At 41.0% G+C, this 27,275-nt stretch overlaps 1 protein-coding gene across 1 annotated transcript in view, besides 1 other annotated feature; it reads left to right on the top strand.

Moving 5' to 3' along the window:
- The window catches only part of DNER (delta/notch like EGF repeat containing), a 356,927-nt gene that overhangs the window by 274,561 nt on the left and 55,091 nt on the right, over positions 1–27,275 (top strand). Inside the window, exon 9 of the mRNA NM_139072.4 lies at positions 21,765–21,887. Within this exon, the coding sequence (NP_620711.3) occupies positions 21,765–21,887 (123 nt within the window). The remainder of the gene's footprint in view (positions 1–21,764; positions 21,888–27,275) is intronic.
- Positions 26,461–26,679: a silencer, noted in NCBI's record as "fragment chr2:230278032-230278250 (GRCh37/hg19 assembly coordinates)". NCBI's record gives its function as "represses an EF-1alpha promoter that drives an FKBP-Casp9 reporter gene in an ReSE screen in K562 erythroleukemia cells {active_cell/tissue: K562}" and the evidence as "EXISTENCE:reporter gene assay evidence [ECO:0000049][PMID:32094911]".

Raw genomic sequence — 27,275 nt, 5'->3', positions numbered from 1 at the left:
ACTCCCTGACTTTCCCTCAAAATTCAAATCATTCAGAACTCATTCTTTGCTGCAGTAGTGTTGAAAAGGTGTGAGATTTGCCTACTAAAAATAGGAGTTAGCAGAGTCTGTGAGGACAGCAGAAATCATTTTACGTCATCTTGCCTGGAATGAAAGTTGCAAATGGCAGCTGGTAACAACTTAACGTCACTAACCTATGCATTTCTGAGGACAGCTCGTTTTGCAGCCCTGCCAGCACAGTATCAGAACATTCTCATCAAGCTTATGGCCCTGGAGGGTCAGATGGGGACCTCCCTACCACTATTTTGTAACAAAGCCATTGACTCTTACTATGTGGTTGAAAATTATTATGATCCAATCACTGTTTTCTTTCACTGTTGAGAATGTCTGTGAATCTGGATTTTAGAACTGAAATCCTGCATGCCTTGCCTTTCTTCCTTGGCTGGATGGAAAGGGGCCTGAGCTTAGCGTTGAGAAGAGCTGAATTTAAGTACCAGCTTTGCCTCCGAACAGCTGTGCCATTGGCCTCTATCAGCATTACTTTTCTCACCTTTAAAATGCAGACAAACATAACTGGCTTGTGAAGCTCAAATGAAATGATACAGATGGTCCTCCACCTTGAAATCTATAAAATGGTGGAGCATTAGCGCAGACATTGGATATTCCGTTACTTGGGAAAGACCACTGAGGACATTTTTACATTTGTGTTTTTATTCTTTTTATATGAGGTTCAAGGTTAGAGTTGGACTGGAGGTGAGATGAAATGGCCATAGTGGGCATTCTTGAATAATGGGTGCACATTCAACTTCTTGCAGGGTTAAGCGACTGCTTGCCTTGATGGTGGCTTTCTGTGACTCCGGTGATAACTATTTAAGTGCCAGATGCTGGGCAAAGCTCTTTGATTGAATTGGCTTCTTGAATCCCCATAGTCCTTATGAAGTGGGACCCATTGTTGTTGTCATTTCTCTGCCCATGACAATACAGCCAGTTAAGGATGAAGCTGGGACTTGAATCCAGGCAATTGGGACCTGCTGGAGCCTCTGTTAGCTCAGAGTAAATAGCAAATGGGGTCAAAAGTGGCCTTGACTCACCAAGGGTAAATAACTGACTGAAAAATTTTTCTGTTTTTAAAAATTTGTATAAGCTTATGAAGTGTAAGTATAATTTTGTTATACGCATAGATTGCATAGTGGTGAAATCAGGGCTTTTAGGGTAGCCATTACTCAAATAATGTACATCGTACCCATTAGGTATTCTAACCAGATTTTTCAAGTGGTAGCTGTGTTAATAGCCACTTCAAATTAATATATTAAATTGGGATTTGTCAGCCACATTGATTCAGCTCTGTTGACCCAGAGAGTGACTTCATCCCATCTGGCTTTGACTAGAGTAGCGACTATCTATGAAAGCTTACTGCATTTATAATAGACTGTGTGCCAAACACCTGACACTTATTTTCTCTTACTTGCCCCCCGTTGGAGTATTCCTATTCTTTTATTTAAGGATAAGGTAATGGAGGCATTGAGAGTTTAAACAACAGGAGGCGGAGGTGATATTTTAACCCTAATCCTCAGAAGCCTACATGTGACACCCCAAGTTAGGTGCAAACCTGGGCTCTCACTTATGTTTGAACCAATCACAAGAACAAGATTCCAGACTCCTCTGTCTCAGCATAGCTCCTGAGATGGATCTTTAAGTGGATGCCTCAAAGCTTGGCATGAAAGGTGGCCTTCATTATAGTTCAATGGATGATACTTGACCAATAGACGTTTCCTACTTCCCAGCACAGAGAAGCGCAACTCTGACTTCCAAGGGTATTGAACCGCATCTAGGTAGGGAGCCCCCTTCTTCTGTCTTTGCTTCATTCTGTAGATCCAGCAATCCACTTCTTTGAAATTGATGCTGAGAACTACCTGTGACTGAAGCTTATGATTTTATTTGATTTGATGCCTGCCGGATGCACCTAATTAAAGAAACTTCCTTTCCTGTGACTCAAATGAGAAATGCAGACATAACCACATGACAGCTATGCACCCTTCAGCCTAGGTAGTTTCTCTTGATTAGCTCTTCTCATTTCTGGGGTCCCCAATGCCTACTAGCAATTTTTCTTACCACCTGATTCCCTGAAAACCTCCTGCATTGATGATTATATGTCATGGATTCCTTTGATGTTGTTTCTTTTCACCTGGCTCTGGTGACATTATAGTCCCTGAAATGTTCTTTCCTTTTCATATTTGACTTTTGTTGTTTTTAGTTCTCTACTTTGAGATAGCTTTGATGACATGTTCCTTCAGTAGCACGCCTTCCCACAAGACTGGCTTAGTGGAAATGATTTGCCGTCAATGTCAATCATGGAGGATTGGAAACTCTGTAACAATGTGCCATTATAGGTGATGTTTGAGATATATTGTGACTTATGGTAGTCTACTTCCTGAGTCCCAATTAGACCACCAATAAGGAGATTTGCTGCATGTCCTACTTTTTTCTGGACTTGTAGCCTTCACTATGCATTTAAATTCTTCATTGGTTTGGATTTATACAACAACCTGGGGACAATGCCCTGTATTTCTTCCATTGTTTTCTATCATGCCCATTAATTTGCAGTTTGAAAGCACACTGTGAAAGTTGCTGCATTCACTGAATGCTTTTACAGAACAGCTTCAGTTTTAATGAAGATTCAGAGCTCTTAGGTTTGCCTGAAGCAGATTGATACATAACCTTTTCTTTAAATCCCAGAACATTGTCAACTCATAGCGGGTATTGATTTTTCAAAACAGCATTTCCTCTTCCATCTCACTCACGTGCTTCTTTATGCAGTGCCTCAATGCTCTCTTTAAAATCCTATTTGTATAGCAGCCCCTGCCTTTTTATGTTTTCTGTTTGTTTGGTAGATTTTTCTCCATCTGTTTATTTTGGCCTATGGGTATCATTGTGTGTGAGATGGGTCTCTCAAAGATAGCATACCATTGGGTTTTGCTTCTTTATCCAACCGGCCACTCTGTGCCTTTTAATTGGGGCATGTAGCCCATTTACATTCAAGGTTAGTATTGATATGTGTGGATGTGATCCTGTCACCATGTTTTTAGTTGGTTATTGTGCAGACTTGCTTGTGTGACCGCTTTATAGTGTCACTGCTTTATGTACTTAAGTGTGTTTTTGTAGTGGCCGGTAATGGTCTTTCCTTTCCATATTTAGCACTTCCTTCAGGACCTCTTGTAAAGCAGGTCTGGTGGTGACAAATTCCCCTAACATTTGCTTGTTCAAAAAGCATCTTATTTCTCCTTTGCTTATGAAGCTTAGATTGGCTGGACATGGAATTCTTGTTATAATTTTTTTTTCTTTTGAATGTTGAATACAGGTCCCCAATCTCTTCTGGCTTGTAGGGTTTCTGCTGACAGGTCTGCTGTTAGTCTGATGGAGTTCACTTTGTAGGTGACCTGCTCCTTCTCTCTAGCTGCCTTTAACATTTTTTCTTTCATTTTTGACATCGGAGAATCTGATGACTATCTTGGGCATGGCCTTCTTTTGTAGTATTTCATAGGTGTTCTCTGCATTTCCTGAATTTGAAAGACACATACATACATATGTTCATCACAGCGCTATTCACAATAGCAAAGACACGGAATCAACCTAAATGCCCATCAGTGGTAGACTGGATTTTTAAAAAGTGGTACATATACACAATGTAATACTGTGCAGTCATGAAAAAGCAGGGGATCATGTCTTTTGCAGTAACATGTATGGATCCACAGGCTATTATCCTAAGCAAACTAATACAGAAACAGAAAACCAAATATTTCATGTTCTCGCTTATAAGTGGGAGCTAAACTTCGAGTACATATGGACACAAAGAAGGGAACAATAGACGCTGGATCCTGCTTGAGTGGGGAGGAGGATGAGGGTCGAAAAACTACTTACTGTGTACTATACTTATTACCTGGGTGAGAAAATAATCTGTACACCAAACCCCTGAGACATGTAATTTACTTATATGAAAAACCTGCCTGTGTATCCCTGAACCTAAAATAAAAGTTAAAAAAAATCACAATCAAATGTTGTTAACTTGTTAGGCACATGTTTATCTTTTACCAAACAGTTTATATTGTGAATAAACATATTGCCAAAATCATTAAAAAATTACAATCCCACTTGGTTTTATAGGAATTGCCTAAAGAGGTCCTTAGTTGGTTGGACTGAAGTCTTAATGATATGTTGATGATTACCAAGATCATGTTTCAATTTTACTCTACCAGATGGTTTCTGATGCCTCAGATCAGAGTGAATGTCCTAGGTTCAATTCATTAGTAGGTGTTGCTTTTAGATTGGATAAGCCCAATTAAAGTAGGTCTAAACTAAGGAATATGTAGTACCTGGTGGTACTATTTTGAGAAGACTCCTCTTTACTACTCCGTAAAAATACCTTTTTTACCAGGTCTCTGATGCCTAAAAGTTTATCTTTGTGGTTTTATTTATTTAAGTTAGACATTGTACCTGGCAATCAACCTTTGTATTAGTTAGTCATTGCTGTGTAACAAAACATTCCAAGACTTGATGGCTTAAGAAAACCACTTATTGTTTGTGATTCTGTGGGTTGATAATTTGGGCAGGGTTTAGCTGGGATGTCTCTTCTCTATTCCATGTGCCCACTCATGCTTTTGTGGTCAGCTGGCAAGCCAGCTGGGGACTGCCGGGTCCTGGATGACCCCTCTTATATTGCTGGCAGTTAGCTGGAGTGATGGGGGCAACTAAGCCACATGTCTCTCTTCATCCAGCAGACCAGTCGGGGCTTCTTCCCACGATTGTAGGGTTCCGAAAGCAGCAACAGAACACAAGGTCCCATATGCATGCTCTCTTTAAAGCTGCTTCTTCTGTTGTTTGCCAATGTCCCAGTGGCATGAGCAAGTCACAGGGCCAAGCTTATAGACTCTGTTTCTTGATAGGAGGAGCTGCACAGAACTTGTAGCTATTTTTTTTTCAATCTACCATAACCTTAAACCTAAATATGTGAAGAATGTGATGTGATGTGTCTGTGTGTGTGTGTGCACGTGTGTGTGTGTGTGTGTGTGTGTATATATATATATATATAAATTGTCTCTATATATGTAAGCAGATTTGAGGAGAAAGAAAGTTGAAAAACAGTGTTTAATCTTTGGTTGCTTGAAAAGAAATGGTGAGGTCCCCTGAACTTGCCTACTCAAGTGATAAGGAATGTCTAGGAGAAAACTTCTTTACTTACCTCATAATTCCATATAGATTGAGCCTTGTTCCTGGCTTTATTTCAAAGAAGTTTCATTTTTCCCTTCAGGTTATTAACATATATATTCTCCTAGAATCTTAAGTCACCAAATAAAAACACACTTCTGATTTTTCACTGCTTTATCAACTCTTAAATGAACAAATGCTGTGTGTTTAGGCATCCTTAATTTAATAAAGAAAGTTGGAAGAGAATTCAGAATTTACTCATATAATTGAGTTGTCATTTCTGATTTATTTACATTTTGAAATTTTCTTTGTAATCCAGTTGCATCAAGGCTGAATTTCCCCATGAAATTCTTTAGCTGAAGTCCTGACTGTCAGCTTCAGCCCTTGGGCATTTGTAGCCCTTAGGGATAGTGGCCAAGTGGAAGGTGTGTGCTTCTAAAACTGTTCTTAAAGGATCATGAGAAATTTCCCTGGTGTTTAACAATATTTAGGATTTAGCATATTTACTCGAGAATGGCAATGACTAATAGAAAGCTTAGAGGATGACACGATTGCATTGTGCCTGTGAATGTCCCCAGTGATAGGGGAATGAAAGTAAATACAGCCAGAAAGATAATCGTGGTCTGCATTGTGGACTCCGTGTACCAAAATTTTCTGGAATAATCCCAGTCACAGTATTTTGTTTTCCATCACACAAATACTTTGCTACCAAACTATGTATCTATGAGGCCACCTCTGATATATAATTGGAAACAGCGCAACTTTGTCAGATCATGGTTCCCAATTTTTGGTTTGCAAAAATTGTTACCTTAGATTGTTTATGCTTTTTTCTTTCTTTCCTTTTTAAAGTAGAGCTTTTATGTTTTATTCAAAATATATTTTAAAAGATAAGCAACATAAATTACCTTCAGAGCAAATTTTCGGCAAGATAATTAGGAATGCAAAAAGCTAATTCACAAATGTCTAGTATATGATAGTCAATTTGAAACACACTTAATCTTTACAAAACTATAATATTATTTTTAATATTACCTACTGGTCTGTATGTTACTCAAAATCTTAATCTTGGTGCTGTATTAAATACTTCTAATATCTTCCATTTTCTGACATTCCTTTCTGCAAAAATATTATTCCTGTGGGTTAAGGAAGCTAGATCAGAGATGTGGGAAAAATTGCCCTCACGAATTTGAATATGAACTTGTTTATCCTCATTCCGCTTAGGCATGTGTGACTCCTAGTCATACAGTGAGGAACTAGAACACATTGTGCCACAGCTATATCCTTATTACTTTCCCTCATTCTGGCCTTTCTTTTCCAATACGTCATTTGTTGTCACTTTGGGATTCCTTTGTGTTACTTTTTTCCCTTATGTAAACCTCGAGAGGAGGGTAGCTTCCTTTAGTCCATGTGCCGATGGCTGGTAGATCATTTGACTATATGTTTCACTGTTGGTTTATTTATATGCCCATAGCTGGTACATGTTCTGACCATATGTTTTGCGGTTGGATTAGTTAAACGCGCTTAGGAGATGCCATGGCTGTTAAAATACAAAACCGGCTGGGCACGGTGGCTCACGCCTGTAATCCCAGCACTTTGGGAGGCCAAGGCGGACGGATCACATAGTCAGGAGTTCGAGACCAGCCTGACCAACATGGTGAAACCCTGTCTCTCCTAAAATTACAAAAATTAGTCAGGTACGGTGGCAGGCACCTGTAATCCCAGCTACTCAGGAGGCTAAGGCAGGAGAATTGTTTGAACTCAGGAGACGGAAGTTGCAGTGACCCTAGATTGCGCCTTTGCACTCCAGCCTGGGCGACAGAGTGAAACTCCATCTCAAAACAACAACAACAACAACAACAACAAAACACAAAAAATCCCATAACCACACTATATGTAGCATTTTCCTTGGACAACCCCTACCATTTCCCCGCATTTGTGAGAGTCAGAGATTGTGGGAGACGTTGTATACTTTTCTATTCTATAGCTTAGTGGCTCTCAAACTTGAGTGCTCATCAGAACCATGTTAGAGGGTTTAAGTCATGGAGTTCTGGGCCCTACCCTTAGAGTCCCTGAATCAGCGGGTCTTGAGTGTGACCTGAGAACACGCATTTCTAACTAGTTCCCAGGTGGTGTTGATGCTGCTGGTCTGGGGACTGCACTGAGACCCAAGTGTGATGAGTGCGGATACCTCAAATGAATGTCTATTAGTAACTAAGAGGTCAACTAAACCAAATTTAACCAATTGATTGTGAAATAAATTAAAAGGAAATAAACATTTTAAAACTCTTCTATACTTTTATACCGTTTAAAATTTCTCTTTGTTAGTATGCATACTTGTGTAAAAGTAATTATCTAGGTTTTATTTTCTCTTCAAAGTGCCATAATAGAGTCTTAGTCTTTGATTTTCCCCCCTCCCACCCATTTGTTGCCTTTGCTGGCCCCAGCACCCATCTTTGTGCATCCCATAATGAAAAACTTCTGGAATGTGAGGGTGTATGTCTACCTTTGCTTTTCTAAACTTTCTTATCATCTTCCTCACCTCAATTATAAACCAGCCATTTTTATGTGTTTATAAACATGCTAGATAATCAATTGAGGGTATGGGATTATTTTATTAAAATGCTTTTCTTACTGTTTATATGTAAACACACATAGCACAATAATCTTTAACTCAAATTATAAAATATTATTTTGTCATTATACTTAGTATTTAATCTTGGTGCTTTAATCATGGTATTACAAACATTTGCATTAAAAATATTTTAAATAAAAAGTAAGAAAAATAGGCCACTTTACAATGGATAATTTAAACTGTAGACACCATATGTTTATAGAGGACATATTGGTGAATTTGCAAGCTGTAGAGAAATATTTGAATGTTATGTTTTATTATTAAAGGGAATGGGATTTCTTCTTTAAATATAACCTGGCAGATTCATTTGCATCCCTCTGTGCCATCTATTTCCTTTTGTAAAAGACATCTTTTTTTTCTTTTTTTTTAATTATTATTATACTTTAAGTTTTAGGGTACATGTGCACAATGTGCAGGTTAGTTACATATGTATACATGTGCCATGCTGATGTGCTGCACCCATTAACTCGTCATTTAGCATTAGGTATATCTCCTAATGCTATCCCTCCCCCCTCCCCACACTTATCTTTTTAGTCCTCCTCTTTTGTTAAACTCCTGAGTAACTTTTTTTTTTTCCTTTTTCACTTGCCTAGATAATAAGTAGAATCCACCCTCTAGTGGCCAAAAGCAACATTAAAAAAAAAAGTCATAAGACATAGCTAAAACATTGTGAAGAGATTGATTTTTCTCAGTGTGACTAGTTTGTAACCTAGTCCTGAAGCCAATTCCAAGAGAAAGCTTTCAGAAATGTTTAGATCAACATGGCTAGAAAGATTCCCCAGATGATGGACAAGTTTAAAGTCAAAGGCCTTTAGACACTGTTTCCGTTAAAGCAGGTTCACTGCCAATTTCTCCTGGCTTCCAGTGTCCTTCATAAGCACAGTCACAAGTGAGCTGTCGTCTTCCATATAGTCCCAGATTTTCTTAAATGTTTTTGAGGGAGAATGCTCATTTTTAAGGAGATAACTCCAGATAGTGGTCGTTTGGTTTTTACTGTATATTTAAGAACTGTTTCCTTTCCAAATATAAATTAATTATGATTTACACTCAGTACATCTACAGAAGTTACAGAATTTTTAACATCTTCAAAGATTTTCTTTTCTGCATATTAAAAAGTATAATTCTTCTTTTAAAAAACAATTTCTTTACTAGCAGTGCGTTTATTATAATGTCTGTTCCCTGCATCTCAGAAAATCTCCTCTAATAAGTCTAGTCTTTTCCCTTTATAGACTATAGGAAATGTTCTTATCTCTCCACTAAAAAAATATTTTAAAAAGTTAGGGTTTTTCTAATATTATCTGTTTTCCTTACTGCCAATCAAGGGTTAGACATAAAGAATGGTCATCATTTCCCTTGTAATCGGTGACATAATTTAGAGTTGTGTTACTACAAATAAAATACCCATAAAACATGTGTATTAGTCAGGGTTCTCTACAGGGACAGAATTAATGGAATATATATATATATATATATTTACTAAGTATTAAGTCACACGATCACAAGGTCACATAATAGGCCATCTGCAGGCTGAGGAGCAAAGAGAGCCAGTCCGAGTTCCAAAACTGAAGAACTTGTAGTCTGATGTTCGAGGGCAGGAAGCATCCAGCACGGGAGAAAGATGTAGGCTGGGAGGCTAGGTCACAGTCTCTCTTTTCACATTTTTCTGCCTGCTTATATTCTAGTCATGCTAGCAGCTGATTAGCTGGTGCCCACTCAGATTAAGGGTGGATCTGCCTTTCCCAGCCCACTGACTCAAATGTTAATCTCCTTTGGCAACAGACTCACAGACACAGCTAGAATCAATACTTTGTATCCTTCAATCCAATCAAGTTGACACTCAGTATTAACCATCAGTTAATCAGTATTAACCATCACAGCATGGATGATATTACCCGCTTATATCACACAATAACATATCTCTGTTAATGGAAAATTAGAAAACATGAATATACATATTTAAATTAATAAAAGAATCCCTTAACAAAACAATTGTCAATTTTGGAAGATGTTTTTCCAAGCCTTTTAATGCATGTTTGTGCAAAACAGGCACTGGTAAAGAAAAGAACTCTTCTGTATTTATGTATGCAAAGGTTATTTGGCCCTCTGATTCTATTTTTCTAGCAAATTCAATTTACCCAGTTTGATCAAGCATCTTCTATATTCCTCAACCTGTGTGCTAAGGAAATGAGAGGAGAACAGCCTGTTGTTAAAGAGAAAATGCAGAGTTTGGAATCAAATATTGAGCAGTGAATCGAAGTTTTACTGCCAAGCAGGAAACCAGATCCAGCCCCGAGGTTAATCTCAGGGGATGGGGCTATGAAAAGGAAAAAGGGTAGGTTTTAAAAAGCCAAACATAAACAGGCTGTTTCGTATTGGAAAAATTTAGATCTTCAAGTTCCTGGGTGGTGAAATCTGGGCTAATCAGCCAGGCACCATGTCAGTGCTGAGCTGGTGCTATTGTGCTTCTCTAGTAAGCGGTCTTTGCTGACCATGTGAAACTATGGCTCAGGGTAATGGCGTCCTTCAGGGCTATGGTGCTTAGGGCCTTTGCTGTGTCTGCAAGGTGGGCACCTATTTCAGAAGTACGGCACCCAGGTTGTCTTTTAAAATCACGTTTGCCTCACAGGCCAGGTGACCACACATCACATCATGATGTGCTTACGCCAGGCATTGTGCTTAATGCTTCCCTTGTGTTACCACCTCACGGACAATGCCAGGCCCGTGTCCTCCTAAGGGAGAGGCAGAAACTCCTCCTTTTATAAGTATCCTCTGTTGCCACAAGTGCCCATGAATGGCCTTAATGGAAGATGTGACACACTGGCACTGAGCTGCAACTGTATGCCTGATGGTCCAGTGCTCCCCATCTAGAAACACTCTCAATACTGAGTTACAAAAAGTACTTAATAAAAAGAAAATAGCATCAAATACATTTTATTTTAATAAGGGAAGCAAGAATATGTATTTCACTTGGGAAGCAAGAATCCTGCTGTGTCCCATTGTCTCTCAAACTCTCACATTGTACCCCCAGCCCCCATATGCTCCACCATCTTGGTGACCCTCCAAGGGCAGTGCTCAAGGTCATTACGCCAGTTGGAGACATCACTCTGCAGGGGCCCACAACATTTCTGGCAGCGACCTTGCTGTCTGCCCAGTGTAATTCCATCATGTTCTGGACCAGTTTTTCTTTCTCTCTATTTTATCTTTTTGGCTTTTTCTCTTTCTATGTCTCTTTCTCTGTTTCTTTTCTGTCTCCATCTTGATAACTCTGGGTCTCTCTTTTGCTCTTCCTCTCTACCCATCCCATGCTCCCCTGATCCTGCTCTCTCTTTTTCTGCCCTCCCTCCACCTCTGACTTCTTGTGTCTTCTTACATAAGGCCTTTCTTTCTTAACTACAGCACAATTGAACCCCTCAGCAACTAGTTCAATGCTTGGCTATATAGTCAGATTTCAGCAAATACTCATTAAAATGAACTGATTTTTTTTTTTTTCAAATCACTTCCGTTTTTCTGGGAGAACCTGTCAATTCTTTTTGTTCAATTAAGATCTGCTTCTTCTAGAATATGGTTCCCTTCCACTCCATTCCCCTCCCCAGCCCCTTCCTTCTAATGAGCTTCTGTTGTATTTTAAAGTGCCTAGAAGAGAAATTGGCCCATAGAAGGGGACTCAATAAATGTCAATTCCTGCACTCCTTTGAAAGAAATTGCAGTATCTCTGGACAAAACAGCCAGGAATCTGGGCCTCCCCTTCCACCTCTCCTTCCTTCTCACCCTTCACATTCTATTCATTACCAGGTATTTCTATTTACTGTTTAAATGGCTCTTGACATTTATATTCCACATGGCCCTGTCACCACTCTCATCCCAGCCGTGATTTCCCGAGACGATTGCAGCAGCCTCTTCACTGATTTCTCCACATTGATTCTTGCAGGTCTTATCCCCATTCTCCAAAGGGTAGCTGGAGCAATCTCTCTGAAATGCAAATCTGATTTTGTATCCCCCCACCACCCACATGAAAGATACCACCAGGCCTGACACCTGCCTGTTTCTCTTTTCTTTTCTTTTTTTCTCTTTTTTTTTTTTTTTTTTGAGATGGAATCTCGCTCTGTCACCCAGGCTAGAATGCAGTGGTGCGATCCCAGCTCACTGCAACCTCTGCCTCCCGGGTTCAAGCAATTCTCCCGCCTCAGCCTCCCAAGTAGCTGGGACTATAGGTGTGTGCCACCACGCCTGGCTAATTTTTGCATTTTTAGTAGAGACGAGATTTCACCATGTTGGTCAGGCTGGTCTCGAACTCCTGACCTCGTGATCTGCCCGCCTCAGCCTCCCAAAGTGCTGGGATTACAGGCGTGAGCCACCATGCCCAGCCCAGTGTTCTTATTTCTTCTCTGCCCTTTGCTCTACAGTGGGTTGCAATCCATGTCTGGAACAAATCACAAGCCGTGGTCCCTCTACCGTGGGTCTTTTGCACCCACAGCTTTTCCTGCCTTGAATTTTCTCATCATTCTTCTGCACACCCCTCCCTCTTAGCTCACTTTCCCCTCTTCCTGGCAGCCTCCCTGGGGCAAGGTCAGCTCTCCTGCATCTCCTCCCTCTCCTCCCTCCTGGAACACCAGGCCCCTCATTGCTTATACTTCCCAGTTATGATTTTCCATTGACTTGAATGATTGATTGATGTTTTTCCCCTCATAAGCGCCCCAGTAAAGGCACTTTATCTGTTTTTACTCACCAGATAGCCCCAGTGACTAGCACAGTGCCTGACACATAGCAGGCATTGAATAACTATTTGTTGACTTAAAGAATGAATCGATCAAGGAGGCAAATATGAGAAACAGAGAATTACCAACCTTCCCCATGTGGCTATTAAAGCCAGAGAGCCTCTGCACTGAGGGAGAATATAAACTCATGGTGTGAACAGTGAGGATATGATTTAGAGCTGGCTTTTCATCATCCATCCTTTTGGAAGCCCAGGGAGGGAGATGGAAATTTGTAGATGGCTCAGTAACATAAATAATAGGGAGGTTTTACAGTCAAAAACTTTAATTTAGCCTCTGTCTTTAGTCCTTTCAATTTAATGTTTATAAAAATCACAGCAAGTGAAAATATTGACTGATTTGGGTCTTCTGACATTTATTTTCTTTTCTGGCTTAGTTGCCATGAGCAATAAAAGGATAAGAAATTAGAGACTAAAGAAATAAGAAACATCAGCAGCTATTGTCTGCCACACACCAACGAATGCTCTGCATTGACTTACACAACTTCCTCCATGTTCACAAGTATTTTCTGGCTTTATTGTGTGTGTTGTGTGTGTGTGTGTGACAGAAGCACGATTACTCAGTGAAAACCTGTGCAGTTATCAAAACCAGCAGGTTCGTTTAAACGAGAGCATCTGAACACTTAATAGGATTAATGTGAGCCCAGATGCTTGCCTCTGTTCTTATTTCTGTTCTTTAATCGATTTCTATTATGAACCTGCCAGCAACAAGAGAGGCTAAGGGAGATAGATGCACACACTCACTCACACACACACGCACCCACACAGATTCCCTTGAAATAAAGCTCTACACAGCAAAATGAATGCATCTTGTCCCACATTCCAGAGCGCCAAAGGGCTCTATGACCACCAGTGAGTTTAGCCAGAATTTGAAAGCTCACAATCATGTTAATATAATAGGATTATTTTCTCTGTGACCCATATCTTTTTTTTTTTTTTTTTTTTTTTTGAGATGGAGTCTCGCTCTGTCACCCAGGCTGGAGTGCAGTGGCGCAATCTTGGCTCATTGCAAGCTCTGCCTCCTGGGTTCACGCCATTCTCCTGCCTCAGCCTCTGGAGTAGCTGGGACTACAGGCACCCGCCACCACGCCCAGCTAATTTTTTGTATTTTTAGTAGAGACAGGGTTTCACAGTATTAGCCAGGATGGTCTCGATCTCCTGACCTTGTGATCCATCCGCCTCGGCCTCCCAAAGTGCTGGGATTATAGGTGTGAACCACCGCGCCCGGCCCCCATATCTTTAACTACTATGGGTGAGGTGGAATATTTGATCTCCCAGGAACTGGCCTAGACTTGAATCAGAAAGTCATGGGTTTTCACATTTTATCCACTCATGCTGAAAAGAAGGGAAAACATCCTTTGAGTTGTGTTGCATCATTAAAGGAACCACTCTTCACAGCCCTGCACTCACTTCAGCCTGACTATAAAGTAAAAACAAATAAAAGCCCCAAACACCGTAAATTCACTCTTGCCTTGAATTCAGTCTGTACGAGGGGAGTGAGTGGCATGACCTCCCCCTGGTTGTCCTGATCACAGCACCATGGTCTTCGAAGGTCCTGTTTGCCTGAGGCAGCAGGAAGCACAAATCACGCTCCAGAGGTGATACTGACAGATGAGTCGCTGGGAATTTGTTGCACGAAGTGTGAAAGCCATCTGGCTACAGCTAGAATCTTACAGTTTTGGATATTTTTGAGTGTGATGAGGGACGGGCGGGGAGAGGGAAAGTACTCCTGTGAGCAAACACACTGTGGAACCAGAGCCGGTGGGTCCTGGATTGATGTTTAAATCCTGCCTTGCGACAGTGTTGAGAGGGAAGATGGTGAAAGGCCATGGAAGGCTTTGCCTTTTACTGGGGAGAGTAGGAATTGAGTGACTCTTAAGACCTTTATGCAGCAAAGTGTCCTGTTCTGGAGCAGGTCAGGGTCTGTGGGCTGGAATCTGGGCTCCACCGTGCCTTTGCTGAACTGGTCAAGGCTGTAGGGCTGTGGTCTTTTCATGTGAAAAGTAGGAAGAGCACTAGCTAGAAACCAGCTTCACCATGTGGCTGGAGGCTTCATAGGGGGCACAGAGAGGAGTCCCAATCCAAGGACACAGCATTCAACAGGGTTCTCGTTAGCTCAAAAATCACCAGGCAGGTTCTCCCTTCTTACTCCGCTCTATCTCATTTGCTTGGTATGAGCCAGTCCCAGATATACCCAGGGCCTGTTTCCTTCTGTGGGATAGCAGTACAGGAGAGAGTCACCCCATGGACTGTGTTATGTCAAACCCACAAGGGCAGAAGCCCTCCTAGGTATTGTCCAGAAATCCTTTTGCTCTGATGAATGAACTCTCACCCTTCACAACAATTTGAAACCCTCATGTTCTCAAATCTCTTCAAGTTGTTTTCATCTTATAAAAAGGATCTAGAACAGTGGTTCTCCAAAAGGGATTTTTGTCTTCCAGGGGACATATGACAATGGGGACATTTTTAATCATTACACCTGGGAAGGATGGTATTATTGGAATCTATTGTGTAGAGGTCAGGGATGCGACTCAACATTCTACAGTGCACAGGGAAGCTCCCCGCGATTATGATCTGGTCCAAAATACCAACAGTCTTGTGACTGAGAAACTCAGATTCTAGGTGTTAAGGACTAAATTAGGCCCTCCACCCCAAATTCATATGTTGAAGTTGTAACCTCCAATGTCTTTGGAGATAGGGCCTTTAAAGAGGTAATTAAGGTTCAATGAGATTATAAGGGTAGGGCTGTAATACAATAGCACCGGTGTCCTTATGAGAAGCACTCACACACAGAGAAAAGGACATGTGAGGACTCATAGAGAAGGCGGCCGTCTGCAAGCCAAGGGGAGAGGCCTCAGGGGAAACCATACCTGTTGACACCTTGACATGGACTTCTAGCCTCCAAAACTCTGGGAAAATAAGTTTTTGTTTAATTCAACCAGTGCTATAGTATTTTCATGGGAGCCCTAATAAACTAACATACTAGACAATGCGTTTGGAGGCAACATGGGAAAGAAGGAAGAACACACAGGATTGACTACATGGCTTTGGGCAAATTTCTTTACCTCTCTAACTCTTAATTCCTCATCTATAAATTGGGATGATTCATGCCCATCGCCTTGGGTTTTTATGAGAATTAAACAAGTTAACACATCTAAAGGGCCTGACATAAGGCAGATGCTGCTAACTTGCTACCACACTGGATGCTCCGTGTAGGTGGAGACCCTGTTCTTTAGCTTTGTAGGCAGTACCCAGGGCACCTGGAAGGTCCTGGAGCACCATGGAAACATTTTAAAAGTGCATCGAATCAATTGATAACATTTTGGGTGCTTATGTAACAGTTTTATTTGTGTAGCCTTTTCCGACACAGATACCACAGGTACAGCTGTGAATACTGCGTTTGCAGACTCTACCCTCAAGCTTATCCTGTAGTGGAGGAAGAGACGTGATAATCAAGTAAAGAACTATGATAAAAATAGGATTTCAGACAGTTACAAATGCTACGATGGAAATCAGCTGAGTGTCGTGATGAGTTGCTGGTGGGAAGAGCTACTGTAAATAGCATTGTCAGAAAACTATCTGAGGAAGTGATTTTTGTTGATGTTTTTGTTTTATGGATATAGATATTCTTTATTGGAGATTTAAATTCCACTAGAGCTGTTGTTCTTGTGAAGTGTTTTTTTAAAATGATAAATAATTCTTGGTACAATCTTCTCTTGGTTTATCAAGTAGTACATTCTAGGAAAACTCAGTATATCTTTTTTTTTTTTTTTTTGAGATGTAGTCTCGCTCTATCTCCCAGGCTGGAGTGCAGTGGCACAATCTTGGTGCACTGCAACCTCTGCCTCACAGGTTCAAGTGATTCATGTGTCACAGCCTCCCAAGTAGCTGGGATTACAGGCGCCCACCACCACGCCTGGCTACTTTTTGTATTTTTAGTAGAGATGGGGTTTCACCATGTTGATCAGGCTGGTCTTGAACTCCTGACCTCAAGTGATCCACCTGCCTCAGCCTCCCAAAGTGCTGGGATTACAGGGGTGAGCCACTGTGCCCGGCTTAAAACTCAGTATATCTTAAAATGGTGCTGTACATATAAAGAAGTTAGGTTTTAGTTTGGGAAAGTTATCAACAGGGTTTTTGCCTACATGAGGGTCCAGTGGAACAGTCCATTGTTGTGAAGAATGAGGAGGCATTCTTTGTTGTGCAGGAATATCCAGGGCATTGCAATATTTAATAACTTTGCCCTCTCCCACCCTCCTAAATTCCAGTAGAACCCTCCAATCATTGCATAAGGATCACTCCCACCCCTAATTTTCTCTAAACACCATCTAAGGGCTAGCACAGCCACCATTAAGAACCATGGTTTTGAGGGTGTTCAGTGACCTCCTCATTTTCTAGTCCAGTGGTCATTCTTGCTCATTAGAGCCTCTGACACTGCTAACCCACCTTCCTTGATATCCTTTCATCCTCTGGCTTCCATGGCACTGCATGCCTTGGGCTTTTCTCCTCCTTTTTGCCCAATCCTTGTCCAGTGTCTTGATCTGGCTCTTTGTTCTCCACCTGCCCATGTGGTCTGACCTTGACCCCTTCTTTTTTCCCTTCCATTTTCTTCTTTCCCTTCCATTTTCTTCTTTAATGAAAATTTCAAAACCACTTCCAGGCAACTAATTCCCAAAGTGCTCTTTCTAAGCCATTTACACGCATACTTCCAACTGCCACTTGGACCTGCCCAAGTGTGCCCAATCTAAACACGTCCAAAGTTAAACTGGTCTTCTTCTAAGCCTGTTTTTCCTCCTCTAAGTCTGTTTTTCCTTTGGTGGTACCTCTTGGTGATAATGACTTCATCCGCTCACTCAGCTAGACATGGCAGCCATCTCCACCGCTCTTTCTCACTCCCCCCATCTGGTTGGTTGCTGTGCCCCGTCAATCCGAAAGAAATAAGGGGAACTGATTATTCGGGAGCAAATCATGCAAAGATGGGAGCAGTGCTGATAAAGATCAGTGCCTTGGAAAGGGCCACTCTGATCCCACCCTTTGATTGTTTATTTTATTTTTAAAAAATCTTTGGATTAGCCTAATTTTTTTTCAGACACTGGGCATACTGCCCTGAGCTAATTTGTTTGCCTGAATTAATTATCAGCAGGGGGTGATAGCCTCATTTTCACAGAAGCCCTCTCTTTTGGAAGGAGTGCCTTTTTATTCAAATCGTCCGATTGAGGCTGCTTGGCACTGAGTATAAAGGGTGCCTTGACATTTCCATGAAGACATTTAAATGTTACCGTCTCTGAAGAAACGGTTTTAGAATATGAAAACTTTATCTTTTTTCCCCCCCAAGGAAGAAAAACATCACCAGCTTAATTATCTCTGTAAAATAACTTCCTCATTTGCTTTTCATATTGCTAGTATAAAAAGATAATGATACTGTTTTCAAAAATGGAAACAATTAAAGATGATCTTGCAAAACTTGCTTGTTTGATTTTTGTCTATTTAAATGCCACCTCAATTCAGAGGTCAAAGATGCATGCAGGGTTATGGTTATATATTACCCTTCCATGTTGATTGTTAAAAGATCTCCTAGGAGGGCAAATGCAATTGAAAAGGTGCTGCTGGTGATTGTACTCCACAATGACCTCAAAAAGCTTCTCATATTAGGAGAAGCAAAAGACACTTAACTCTTTACATATACATGGATATATATGTATATATTTTTACTCTCTCTCCCACTTTCTCTCTCTCTCTCTCTCTATATATATATATATATTTCATGTTGTATGTTTTTTACCACTATATATATTTTTTATGTTGTGTATTTTTTACCCACTATATATATAGTAGGTAAAATATAGATATAGAGATATAGATATAGATATACAGATAGTGGTAAAATATATATCTGTATATAATAGTGGTTAAAATATGTATATTTAATAATACATATATATTTATATATATAGTGGTAAAAAAACACAGCATTAAATGTACCTTCTTAACAAATGTTTAAGTATACATTACAGTATTATTTACCATACACACACTGTTTTCCAGCAGATATCTGGAACTTATTCATCTTGCATAACATCTTGCATAGTTAAATAGCAGCTCTCCATTTTTCCCCTTCCGCAGACCCTGGCAATCATCATCATTCTACTTTCTGCTTCTGTGAGTTTGACTATTTTAAAAATACATCATATAGGTGGAACCATACAGTATTTGTCCTTCTGTGACTGGCTTATTTCATGTAATGTAATGTCCTGAAGGTTCATCCATATTGTAGCACATGACAAGATTTTCTTCCTTTTTAAGGCTGAATAATATTCCATTGTATTATGTACCACTTTTGCTTGACCTGTCCGTTCTTCTGTCAATGGACATCAAGTTGTTTGTACTTCTTGGTTATTGTGAATAATGCTGCAATGAACATGAGAGTGCTATTACCTTCTCCAGATCCTGTTTTCGATTCTTTTGGTTGAGTACCCAGCAATGGAATTGCTGGATCATGTGGTGGTTCTATTTTTTATTTTTTGAGGAACCTCTGTAGTTTTTCATAGCAGCTGTACCATTTTACCTTCCTACCAACAGTGCACAAAGGTTCCAATTTCTTCAAATCTGCCCCAACACTTGTTATTTTCTGTTTTTGTTTGTTTTGTTTTGTTTTTTATAATGGCCATCCTAATGGGTGTGAAGTGATATTTTGTTATGATTTTAATTTGCATTTCCCTGATTTTTAGTGATGTTGATTAGTGATGTTATTTTCATATGCCTGTTGGCCATTTGTATTATTTTGTACCTTACATAACTGCCAACTCAAAATGGACTAAAAGCTTAGATGTAAGGCCTGGAAGTATAAAACTTCTAGAAGAAAACGTAGGGGAAAAACTTCATAACATTGGCCTTAGGAATGACTTCTTGGATATGATATCCGAGGTACAGGCAACAAAAGCACAAATATACAAGTGGTGCTTCAAACTTAAAAGGTTCTGCATAACAAAGGAACAATCAACAGCATGAAAAGGTGACCTATGGAATGGCAGAAAATATTTGCAAACAATACATTTGATAAGGGGTTAATATCCAAAACTCTTGTTAAAAGAAAGATCTTTCATTGAATCTAAATCAAGAATCAGCAAACTTGTTCTGCGCAAAGGGCCAGACAGTAAATATTTAGGCTTTGCAGGCCATATGGTCTCTGTTGCAACCACTCAGTCCTCTGTTGTAGTGTTAAAACGGCCATAGACAATATGTAAATGCATGACTGTGGCTGTGTCCCAATAAAACTTTATTTGCAAAAACAGGCTGGGATAGATTTCATCTGTGGGCCATAGTTTGCTGACCCCTGGTCTAGAACAGAGTTTCTCAACCTGGCTGTATTGTTATTTTTTTCTGGATAGTCTTGTTGTGAGAGGCTGTCCTGCGCAGCCTCCTGTAGAACTGTAGGATGCTTAGCAGCACTCTTGACTCTGCCTACTAGATGCCAGCAGCAACCCCTCCCCCTGCCTCCAGTTGTGACAACGAAAAATGTCTCCAAACATTTTCAAATGTCCTTTGGGGGACAAAATTGCTGCTAGTTGAGTACCTCTTATCTACATGATGAAAATAATCTAATGAAGGGTAATAGAAATATTTCCCTAAAGTTACAAAAAGTAGGGTAACATACTACTTTTCAGAAGAATTGAAAACTATAGTATATTTGTCTTAGGTAGGTCAAGGGCTCCTCAAAGGGGCCATTATCACAACCTAAATTTGGAAAGCTGTTCAAAAACAACTGAAATGGCAACATATTTGAAAAGTGCTCTGTTAATAATGCAAATATGAGCTTAACCTACTTTTATGATAGGCACAAGAAACAAAGCAGTTCAACATATTAGCATGTTCTAATGGGACTTTCTGAGTTTGAGAGTTGGTTGTGAGCTGGAAAGGCTAGGGAAAAGCTAGTAGTTCTAATTCCTACTTGGATAAGGGCTTATTTTTTCTGCTTATCTGAATTCAGAACGAACACAGTCAGTGTGACTTTTGAAAACACTCACATGTTTTTCATTGTTTGGACAGGGCTGGACAAAAATGGCCTGGTTTCACTGCAAATTGGCAGTAACACATGTTTTCAAAAGTTGAAAACAGCATAACCCTCATGAATGAATCTCAAAGAATGTTGTCTTCTTGTCCTTTAGAATAAACACCTGTTTTGCAAATAGGAGGGTAAAATCCACTTTATCAAGAAATTGTGGGTTTATTTTCTCTTCACTCACATGATTATTTCTTTAGTAATTTAAACATTTAGGTACAATTTAAAATATTATAATTTATATAATCATATCTTTAAACAAGCAATAACAACAAAAATACCCTCACATTTCATCAATAATTTCAGTTAAGCATTTTGAGCTAATTTTCTTTTCTGACTTGAAAAGGAAATACAGATATACTTTTCTAATGTGGCTCTCACACTTTTTGTTTTCTTTTGTTTTTTTTTTGAGATGGAGTTTTGCTCTTGTCGCCCAGGCTGGAGTGCAGTGGTACAATCTTGGCTCACTGCAACCTCTGCCTCCCAGGTTCAAGTGATTCTCCTGCCTCAGCCTACTGAGTAGCTGGGATTACAGGCGCCCGCCACCACGCCTGGCTAATTTTTTGTATTTTTAGTAGAGACAGAGTTTCACCATGTTGGCCAGGCTGGTCTCGAACTCCTGAGCTCAAGTGATCAACCTGCCTCGGTATCCCAAAGTGCTGGGATTACCAGCACTTTGTGGTGGCATGAGCCACCACACCGAGCCAGGTTCTCACTCTTGAAGGGAGCTGTTTGCTCCTCCCCTGCCGTAAATCCTGCTCATTCACTATCTCTGATGGCCACAGCAGACACACTCAGTGACTGGATCACCCTAACACCAGCACTGTTGGATGCACTATGATGAAAATGTCAGTGGATAAATGGAATCACTTCTTTTATACTTGGGATCATGAAAAAGTGTGATAAGAACAGGCGCTTTCTTCATAGCCTTCCCCCAAATCCACCTTTCAACTTTACCCCAAGAGATCTAGCTCCTGAAATCCCATCTGTTTATACCATACTTTCTAATGAATACCCCCAACTGCCTTCCTTGCAGGCTGGTCCCGCGTGGGTTGTAAATGGGATGCATTTGACAGTGGGCCTTTCTCTCTGTCCCTCAGGTTACCATGGCCTCTACTGTGAGGAGGAATATAATGAGTGCCTCTCCGCTCCATGCCTGAATGCAGCCACCTGCAGGGACCTCGTTAATGGCTATGAGTGTGTGTGCCTGGCAGAATACAAAGGTGAGAGGCCGCCTGGCCTTCCTGTGCCAGAATGGCTCTAAATGACGTCATGTATTTCTCAGTGTAAATGCATAAACCTCTAATTGGACCATGAATTGTTCAGAATAACAATCAAATGCTGAAGCTGGCATGATTAATCGGTCCAAGGAGACCAATTTGCAAGTCTCTGGTTTCTTCCTGATAGATTGAGAAACAACCCCCTTTCCTGTCCTGTTCTTTGTGGATCCTCGCTTTCTTTTTTATTGAATGTGTAAAAAGCTGAAAACAAAAAGTAATATTAAGATGGACTGTCAGACATAGGTTAGAGACCATGGCTGTGAAAACTGTGGAAGAGGAAGGATGCCGTCCTATAAAGCTTCTTATGCAGAGATAGAATGCTGTGCTTTCTTGGGGAGGAGGCAGGCGGAGTCCCATGTATCAGCAAGTAAGTTAATGCTTATTAAAAACAGGCGACATTGACAGAGTGTTTCCAATGTGTGGACCCCGTTCTAACCCCTAATGTGCATAGCTCACTAAATCCCCCCGAGAACCCTATGAGGTGGACAGTAATGCTCTTCCCCTATAAGCCTGGTCAGCGTGGTTCCTAAAGCCCTTTCCCAGCATCTTCACTGGCCTCTGGCCACGTTTTGTGGATGGCAAGGCTTCCTGGAGCCCAGATATCCTCAGACGGCCCTGTTCCAGGAGAACCTATTTATCAGCTGTTGCACACATTTCTCTAAGCCATAACTACGGGGCCGGGTTTAGATTTTGGAATGCGTTTGTGGGCTCTATTTATAGCCATTTCATTCAACCGCTTGCTCCTATTGCTGCTTGCTTGATGCCATCCACCTGGCTGGAGACCTTGCATTGCCCTCACCGTTGCTTCTCTTTGGATGAACCTACCTTTATTTAGTAACCTTTTTGGCAAGTCTCATGGCCTTGTAGGCTACACTGAAAACTTGATTAAGCTCCTGGATAAGAGGGCTGAAGCTGGGCCAGGTCTTGACTTTGTGTTCCACAGATCTGATGCTTCTGTTGGAGTATGACGTTCGGTTAGAACCAAACTCCACTAACATCTACCAGGACACAACAGCAGATGTGCTGGCTTCATTCTCAGGCTTCTCAGTTCTGAGTCTATCTATCTATTACCTTTCTCTCTACATATCTTCAACCTCCTTCTTTCCCCTTGCTCCTTTCCATGTGTATAAATATTTTCATGGATTTCTTACTCTGAACAAATGAAGATTCTAGGAAGATGGCAGCTCACATTGACATTCAATATCTCTGATCCCTCCTGACTCTCTGCTAGGGATGGCTCAATAAGGTAGATGACCCTGAATGGGGTCATCTGAAGATTTGGGGTCTCAAGAAAGGGTATGTGTGCTGGGAGCCTTTGCTTAACCACAAGAACAGGGGATGAGGGCTCCAGAGAGAACTGATGACTCAATGAACAGATTAGTCCAAAAAAATCCTTCAGCTTATAGAGAGGAAGTGCATGCTGTAATTGTGCTGCGTCTGACCCTAGGAGGCAGAGGGGTGTACTGATCTCATGGCTACGGGCTGCTGTCTAAGGAAATTGCACAGTAGGCTGAGCTGGCCCCCCCATTTTTTGTGGCCTTGAGAACACCAAACTGGGAGGCCTCTCTCTGCCTCATGCCTTAGTACACAGGGCCCCATTGGCTGCCCATCCATCCCTGAAGGGGAATGTGTTATGTTGTCTGTCTCTGCCAAGATTTCCACCCACTAGCCTGGCCAGTACACTAGCCCACGCCAGCAACTCAGAGAGGGAGAAAAGTTTTGGGAAATAAAAACAAAAATTGCAACAACAGCTCTAAACACTCAAGAAAGGAAGTGAAGAAAGTAATGTACACTACTCAAAATTGAATTTGGATCTGAATAAAAAGGAGGAACTAGTGCATGAGAGAATCAAAATATGAGGAAGTGGAAACCACGAGTGAAAAGACAGGAAACATGGAGAAAAGATTTGAGAGATCTGCTTCTGCCTGAGCGATGGGTGCTCCAGAAGAAGGAGCATGTGGAAATAGAAGCAGAATTAACTAACTCCTAGAAGGAGGTGTCTGTGAGGTGAAGAAAGTCTTATTTTCAAATAGAATGGGCTCACAGGGCAGTAATGGGATTAATGAAGGAGATGATACACAATTTGAGATTTCCTGGTAAAATTTGTAACTGCAAGGATAAAGAGAATTTTTTACAAGATTCTTCGAAGGGATCACAGGTTACATACAGAAGAAAGAGAATCAAATCGGCATTGTACTGCCCCTCTCTATCATGAGGTAAAGAATAGCAGAGCAGCGTTTCAGACTTTTAAATGAAAAGGACTAGGAGTTTGTTGTTTATATTTGAGGGCAAAAGAAAGACATTGCCATACATTCAAGGATACAGAAAATATAGCACCCTATACCCTAAGATAAGTACCTTAATAAGCATCGCCACCAAATAGGAACTAAATCAAAACAAAGATATCCAGATAGGGGAAGATGGAGAATGGAAGGAAGAGATGTATGCCTTTAAATGCAGGCATAAATCTAAATATTTGATATTTATGTGATTGTGAATGGTAATATAATGGTGAAGGAAAGTCTCTTGAAAAAAGTAGATCCGCCTTCTGTATCAGCTATCTATTGCTGCATAACAAATCAGTACCCGGTACTGGCTTAAACAACATGCTTTTATTACCTAACAGTTTCCTAGGTCCAGGTGTGGCTTAGTCAATTCCCAGCTCAGGGGCTCACAAGGGTGAAAGCCAGGTATTGACTGACTGAGCTCTCATCTGAGGCTTGAATAGTGAGAAATCAGCTTCCAAGTCCCCTTAGGTTATTGGCAGAACTTATATCCTCGTGGCTGTAGGATTTGTGACAGCTTGCTCTTTGAAAGCTAGCAACTATGACAGAGACCCCACTGCTTCCAGTCTTGAACTTCCGGGAAGGCCTGGACTTTTTTTTTTTGTGATGGAGTTTCACTCTCATTGCCCAGGCTGGAGTGCAATGGTGTGATCTCGGCTCACACCAACCTCCACCTCCTGGGTTCAAGCGATTCTCCTGCCTCAGCCTCCTGAGTAGCTGGGATTACAGGCATTCACCACCATGCCCAGCTGATTTTGGATTTTTAGTAGAGACAAAGTTTCTCCATGTTGGTCAGGCTGGTCTTGAACTCCCGACCTCAGGTGATCCACCTGTCTTGGCCTCCCGAAGTGCTGGGATTGCAGACATGAGCCACTGCACCCAGCCTGGACCCTCTTAAAGGTCTCACCTGGTTAGGCCAGGCCCACCTGGGAGGAACTCAAAGTCAACTGATTAGGGACCTTAATTGCATCTTCAAAATGTCTTAACTGCCATTTGCTCTTGGTTGGAAGCTCACACTCAAAGGGAGGGAATTACACAAGGGTGTGACTCCCTAGGGGTCACTCTAGGCTGTGTCCACCACTCTTGCTCTTAAGGAAAAATTTCAACAAGTAAAGTGGTTTCATATTATTTAAAACAAAGCCATGTGTTGAAGGGGGTGAGGATAGGAAAGACTGAAAGGCATACAAGTGTGTTAAACATTTCACTCCTGGCTTGGTGTGGTGGCTCGCACCTGTAATCCCAACACTTTGGGAAGCTGCAGTGGGCAGATCACCTGAAGTCAGGAGTTCAAGACCAGACAGTGAAATCCCGTCTCTACTAAAAATACGAAAATTAGCCAGGTGTGGTGGCGGGTGCCTGTAATCTCAGCTACTCAGGAGGCTGAGGCACGGGAACTGCTTGAACCTGGGAGGTAGACGTTGCAGTGAGCTGAGATCACACCACTGCACTCCAGCCTGGGTGACAAATCCAATGGGCAGATAAAGTGTTTATTTAATTTTAGTATATTTATAAAGACTTTTAGGTTTAGGTTTAAATAAGGCTGCTGAAAACAGGGAGGTAAACCCTAGTAATGTAGCAGTAAATGGTAGAACTTCTAAACTAAGAGTGGTGGGGACATGGGGAGGGTAGGTAGAAGGAATTAAAGGAGAGACAGGAGGATCTAATCATGCTCTTCCACCCAGAGGAAGAGTGAGGGGAAGTGAGAGGCCACATGATCCTGTGCTTTTCTCTCCGTGGGGGGATGGACATTTTCCCCCTTTTGGAAATATTTTTGCCAATATATATTTACATATCGTATGTCTGTATACATTCAGGAAACTGTCAGATGGATGGGTTTAAATTCCTAACTAGTACTTACCTGGAGTTAGAACTTAGATAGGTAGTATTTTAGGGATAAAGTTAAGCTTTAACTTTTTACTTTATATATATACTTTTTAAGTGGTAATTTTTACTGCTTAATATTGATATTTTTTAAACTATATATATAGTTTTTATATTTTTAGGAGGATATATATAATATAACTATATATAACACTATATATATAACACCCTCTCTATGTATATATATTTATCCTCCTAAAAAGAATGAGTGCAATAGGGAGTCAGCCAAATATATAGCTAAGAACATTTTGAAAAAGGAAAAAAGGCCGGGGGCGGTGGCTCACACCTGTAATCCTAGCACTTTGGGAGGCTGAGGCCGGCAGATAATGAGGTCAGGAGTTCGAGACCAGCCTGGCTAACATGGTGAAACCCCATCTCTACTAAAAATACAAAAATTAGCCAGGCGCTGTGGCACATGCCTGTAGTCCCAGCTACTCAGGGGGCTGAGGCAGGAGAATCACTTGAACCCGGGAGGCGGAGATTGCAGTGAGCTGAGATCGTGCCATTGCATTCCAGCCTGGGTGACAGAGCGAGACTCCGTCAAAAAAAAAAAAAAAAAAAAAGAAGAAGAAAAAGAAAAAGAAAAGCAATGAGGGGGAACTTCTGCCAGATGTTGAAAAACCCACTATAATGCTGCAATTATTGTTACATTCATATATTACCCTAGCAAGAATGGACAGATAACCAAAACTGAAGAATGGCCCAGAAACCATTGTCTATAATAATAATGTAAGACTCTTAGAGAGGAATTGCTAGGAATGAGAAGGGAATTCTTTTCAAATAAGCCCTTCTAGAAAAACTGGGCTGCTAAAGAAAAAAAAAGTTCTTAGACTTCTAAGTAAATTCCATATAAATAATAATTTTAAAAACCTCTTCTTTGACTTTTTGTGTCCCTGCTGTGCTTAAAGTCCCTTTCTTCCCTTTTGCTTTTTCAACCATGGCTCTTGGCCCTTGTCCACATCATTCCACTAAAAGAGGTTTCAGGAAAATTCATGGTGAAGTAATTGAAGTCATTTGGTGAAATCTATGAAGCCTCCCCTTCCACTTCTGACTCAGCCAGCGTTCCTGTCCCTTTGCCCCACTGAGCCCTGGGGTCCCTCTTGCACGTCGCCTTGCTGTGTCTTCTGCAACTTCATTCCTGACGGGGTTCTCCTCTCTGCCCTCA

This window comes from Homo sapiens, chromosome 2, assembly GCF_000001405.40.
Source record: "Homo sapiens chromosome 2, GRCh38.p14 Primary Assembly".
In the NCBI taxonomy this organism is placed as follows: domain Eukaryota; kingdom Metazoa; phylum Chordata; class Mammalia; order Primates; family Hominidae; genus Homo; species Homo sapiens.
This window is presented reverse-complemented; position numbering and strand designations above follow the sequence as displayed.